The following is a 6,000-nucleotide window of genomic DNA, read 5'->3' as shown; positions in this document are numbered from 1 at the left end:
AAGCCCTCCAGGAGGCAGCTGTGAAATGGGGCTCAGTGCCCTGGACATGGGGTCAGGAACCTGGTCTGGTGAGCCCAGGTGTGTCCCAGAACACAAGAATCTTATGGATCAGATGTAGATTTAATCTGATGATAGAGCCAAAATTGAAGTTCCAGCCCCAAAATGCTTGTCATGTAGTGATCCACAGACTGATGTGCCTCGACCATCTAACACCAATGACAATGATTCAGCCACAAATGGAAACCAATGGAACTGCCTGGGAAATGTTGTCTTCTTCTGTCTTCTTTAAGAGAAGAAACATGCTACATGTTTGTGGAACAAACATGGTTTCTTAGCCATAAAACAGCATGCTGCCCTCTGTACTGAAAATACACATTTGAGGCCGGGCGCGGTGGCTCACGCCTGTAATCCCAGCACTTTGGGAGGCCGAGGCGGGTGGATCACGAGGTCAGGAGATCGAGACCATCCTGGCTAACACGATGAAACCCCGTCTCTACTAAAAATACAAAAAATTAGCCGGGCGTGGTGGTGGGCGCCAGTAGTCCCAGCTACTTGGGAGGCTGAGGCAGGAGAATGGCATGAACCCAGGAGGCATAGCTTGCAGTGAGCCGAGATCATGCCACTGCACTCTAGCCTGGGCAACAGAGCGAGACTCCATCTCAAAACAAAACAAAACAAAACAAAAAAAAAAGCAAAAAAAAAGAGGAAAATATACATTTGAGAGAGTGGGAACAAGTACGGTAGGAAGAACTTCCCCAAAAGGCCCCACAGCAAAACCCTTCACAACAGATTTTTTCTGTTGTATTCATTTATCCTCTAGTTTGTCAGCAGGGACTGGCTCTTACATAAGTACTTCCTGACACCTCCTATTATGGTGTTGCACTCACATTGGGGGATTAATACACATGTATTAATGTAGTAACTAATTTAATTTTAAAAATACCCCGTGGGTCCAAAAACAAGAAGAAAAACAAACCCAAATGTTTCAATAAAATAAAAGCTCTTTGAAGACAAGATCAGTGCCTTATTCATCTTTGTCTCCTTAGGCCCTGTACAAGGACCAGTGCATAGCAGGTGCTCAGATAATGTGTGCTGAATAAATGAATGAAAGAATTCTACGATTTAATGTTGATTCTGAACACTGCTGTTCTTACAGTGATGATTGTGGGGGTGGTGGTAAGAGTACAGTGTGCAGTGCAGGAGAGGGCGCTAGAAAAGGATTCATCTCTTAGGGATGGATTTCATCCAGATCATCACTTTTCATGCTCTGCTGCCCCTAAGTGATACTGGAGGATATCTTTCAGTTCCACTCTCTTCTTGGTTCCTGATAGAAAGTCGGGGAAACCTGCACAACTGGAAAGGGCTCAGCTTCTCCTCAGTCCAGCTGATTCTTACTCAGTAGAACTATCTCCCAATATTGTCAGATCCTCCAACTCTTAAAGAAGTTTAGAATCTGTGTTTTTACATGAAATATACCAGTTTTTATATTTTGCCCATTGTAGGATGGACTATAAATTGTCCCTAAAAATATTTCCTTTCCCTTCCAGAGTGAAATAATTTTTAGTTGAGCTACAAGGCCACTGAGAATAAAGACTGTATTTCCCAGTCTCCCTTGCAGCCAATGGTTGCCATGTGACTAAATTATGGCCAAAAGAATGAGAGAGAAAGTAATGTGTGCACATTCCTGAGTCTTGCCCTTAAAAGGAAGGGTGTAGCCTTGCCTTCCTTCCCCCAGTCCTACTAGCAGTTGTACAGACATGCTGGGGACCATTTTGGAATATATGGACAGAATGAACACACCAGGAATGGCAGACTACCAAGACAGCAGAGGCCTGGGTCCCTGATGCTGTACACGAAGGGCTATACTTGCCTCGATTTAATGTGAGATAGAAATACATTTTTATCTTATTGAAACATTCCTATTTGGGGTTTGTTACTCATGGGTGATTCTGTAACTCATTAACATAGTAACTCATTCCATTGTTGAAAAGGCCTTGTGGGTCAAAGAAAGCATGTTTGTTCCTGAAGACAAATGCCATCTGGTGATGTATTAGGCTCTATGCTATCATCCTTCCCCTGGGAGAATTCTGTGAGTTGCTGTTTTGAGAGAAGGCCCAGTATCCACAACTGATTGGAGCTTACATTTTGCTGGAAAAGCCTGGAAGAGGAGTAAGGGAGTTAGTCTGTCTTTGACTCCGCCTCCTGCCCTGCAGAGTCGTCTGGCTCCTGTGGGCCAGTAGCCAAAGAAATTCAAGTGGGGGCACGTATTTGGGCTCCTCTGGATCAATCCTTGGAATCTGGGGGCATGATTTCTTCTAGTATCTTCCTCCTCCTTCTTTCTTCCTCTTTTTTCTCTTCCTCCTCTCTTTTCTTCTTCTCTTCTACTCCCTTCTTTCTCTTTCTCTTCCTTCCTTCTTCTTGTTTTTTCTTTTTTCTTTTTTCTTTTTAAAGAAACAAGATTTCAGGCAAAGGCCTGTGTTCTGAGCAGCTGGCTGTAGGATGGTGGAGAAGGTTGGGGGTGGGACACCATGGAAGTAGACTTTTATTTTTTAGTTATTTTTTCCCCAAGCTGAAGCCTGTGGTTGTTTTCTCTGTAAGAGGATAATGAAGAATTTGCTGGTCTAGAATACAAGAATATTGAAATTGTTTCTCATCTGTAAGAAGGGTATGAGAATGACAAGAATGGACAGGAATGGCACCAGCTTTCAGAGGGTGACTATATGGGAGACCCAAGGGCAGACCACATGGAGATGAGGTATCATGGTACAGGTGCGGTTGAGGGACACAAAGGGCATGGTAGGACAACATGACGACCGAGATGTCAGAGCACACATGTTGAGCCTCTTGGAGGTTCCTGAGTGTGTGGTCTGTGCTCAGGCAGCATCTATAGAAGGCTGTGCTCACAGGCAAAGGCAACATCTCCCTCTTTACCAGCTTTAGTTGGCAGTCAAGGCATCATGAATTCATGCCTTTGGTCACTCCTAATTTATTGAGTACCCTCCAGGTTCCAGGGACCATGTTAGGCACTGAGGACAGGACAATAAGGTACCAGGATCATGCCACCATGAGGTGACAAAAATAAAGGAAAGGCCAAGAGAATCCCAGTGATGCCTGCACCACATCATTGTTCTTGAGCCGAGACCAGCAGCCCCAAACCTTCCAACATGTGTTGAGCCCACTGGAGTAGGTGCAGCCCCTGCTTCCAAGGGTCTAATACAGACAAACGGAATATAAGTGGATAAGCATCCCAAGAGTACAGCAAATACCTAGGGGGCCTGGGGACACAGAGCAGGGGCACTGTGCCAGACATTTCCACAACCACTCTCTACCCTTTTTCAGCTGCTCTGGGCCTGGGAGGCTGACCTAAAGGTCTAGGGTGGGCTTCTTTGTCCTCTAGCTCCCGTTGGGTTGGGCCAATGCAAGTCTCTGCCAGGAGATCAGAGGGTGGGAGGAAAGAGTGAGGTCAGGGCAATCACCCTCTTACCACTGCTTCCTCCTTGCATGGGCCACTCTTTGGGGCAGCCAAGTTCTCCTAGTAAGGGCCACAGCTTTTGTGGGACAGCCCTCTTCTGCAGCTGTAGCTGCAGCTTTCTCCAAGACTTAACAACCTGCTTCCTCCTTTAGCTCTCAGGGATGGAACATCTCTCTGCTGTGCCAACCCTGGGGGTTTGGCATCCTTTTCTGGTTTCCCTTTGCCCTATTCATACTTTGTAAGAACTCCTCTCCTGGTTCCCCCATTGAGCATGCCATCGGTTTCCCTGGGGATCTGACCAGGTTGTCCCTGATACATACTTCTGCCCCATGATGATGCGGGGCTTATCTCTAAAATAATATAAATGCATGCAAAACAGATGCTTTTACATCACTGTGTCATATTTTATCCTCACAAAAACCCTGCAATTGAAGCAGGAAGGAAACTGAGGCCCCTGGGATGAGCATCTGCTGAAGGTCCCACAGCTAGTTGGTCCCGGAGCTGGCATCTTTGACCTCCGTAAGGACAGGCCCTACCCTAAGGAAGGGGTGGCTGTCCTCTGTCTGGAGCCCTCTCTGATGCAGGGACTTGGTCAGCACAGCCTCCCTGAGCTTCCATTGTACCTGTTGCTCCCCTCCCCCACCCCTCACTATGCTGCAAAATGGAAAATGCTGTACCCAGCCAGCAACAGCCCTTTGTTCCACACTAACGAAACATGTTCTATGGGGAGCTAGCGTTCCACTTTGATTTTTGGGACTTACAAATAACGCTCTACAGCACATTGTTTGCTAGAATTACCCAGAGCTCAGCTTTTCTGCATTCATTCTGCCGTATGGAAAGAAGCTGCAGCAACAATCGATGGGTTTTCCATGGTCTCTGACTGTCCACTAGCTCGTATTTTACTGGTTTTATTTTGCTTATGCAGTCCCAGCTGTGATTATCAATACATGCATTCAAGCCGCTCCTGGCTCAAATTGTAGCAACAATAAGCTTGGGGGCAGGGGTGGCGATCTCCCACTCTCTGGCAAGGTTATAGTCTCTGGATTGAGAGAGAATAGGTGAGGGAGCAAAAGGGAGGGTGGTAGGGAGAAACTGAGCTCCAGGAGGAGGGAGGAGAGAAAGGAGAAAAAGCAAGGCAAGCCTCAATACCAGCATGCAGAGAGCCACTCTATTTCAATGCTCCAAGCGAACTTGAGTCCCAGCCCACCGATCTCTGAGCTCAGACTCCACATTCACAGACAAAACATCTCTCTCCAGCTGTTCCCTGTCACCCTTAAATCCTTTAAATACAGTCAGATGAAGCCAGCAGGGTTGCAGGATAAATTAACATGTTCAAGCAATTACCGAGGCTTTTTGATAATTCAAGTACAAGGGGCTTAAGTATTGGGTCTGGAGGAAAGAGAAAGAACTTCTGAATCCCTCACATTGTTTTTTAAAGTCTTAAAGTAAAAAGGAAATGTTTTCTGGGTGGGATGGGGATAGAGGTGAGCATTGTGCCACCAACTGATTTGTAATGGCCAAGCTGGTCTGAAATGTTCATTCAAATCTTCAATCAAATGCATGTTTGTTTAGCCAGCACCTTCACATCTAAATTGTGTGCATGTTCTAATTTATCCCTCTTATAACACACCTAAGTAAATGTTTAGATTTGTGATTCTCTTGGATATTCAAATTTGACCAATAGATTGTCTATGACACTAAGTAGCCATAAAAATACTTGGGGTGTGTGTATGTGCATATTGCCAGGAGAAGTTGTAATTAGAGCCAGACAAAGCCACAGGAGACATGCAAAATTCAATCAGTTATTATATTAATATCCATAAAAGTTGCATAGTCCTAACAGAGAAGAAGAATAAAAAATAAATTAGAATGGAATGGAGTGGTAAATAGATTATTGAACCCAATTAAGTATGTGGCTACCTGAGGAGAAGTAATAGACACTGTATGACTTAAAAAATTATCTAACATCATAACCCAGGAACAGGGGCGTGGGTGGTGGTGTGAGGACCATTTCACTCTTTGAATTTTGAAAATCATGACGTTGTGACAGTAAAAGTGGCTTTAGCCTAAATGCTGGCTAAATTGCCGATAAGAATCTGGTCAAATTATGATTAACATTCCTGGTCATTTAAGAAACCTCATCTAAAGGAAAAAACAAAAAAAATTTAGAAAAGTAATCCCCAAATTTGTTTAGAATAACATTGTTTGCTTACAGTGCAAATATGTTTTAACCCCAGAAAATTTTTAAATTAAAAATACAGATGTTTAAATGATTCAAACTGATAACATTGATATTTTTGCACAAAGAAATTGTGTGCATTTTTGTATCTATTTTTTTTTTTTTTTTGAGACGGGAGTCTCGCTCTTTTGCCCAGGCTGGAGTGCAATGGCGGGATCTCGGCTCACTGTAAGCTCCGCCTCCTGGCTTCACGCCGTTCCCCTGCCTCAGCCTCCCGAGTAGCTGGGACTACAGGCGCCCGCCACCACGCCCGGCTAATTTTTTGTATTTTTAGTAGAGATGGGGTTTC

This window comes from Homo sapiens, chromosome 18 (genome assembly GCF_000001405.40).
Source record: "Homo sapiens chromosome 18, GRCh38.p14 Primary Assembly".
Lineage (NCBI taxonomy): Eukaryota > Metazoa > Chordata > Mammalia > Primates > Hominidae > Homo > Homo sapiens.
Note: the sequence above shows the minus strand (reverse complement) of the source record.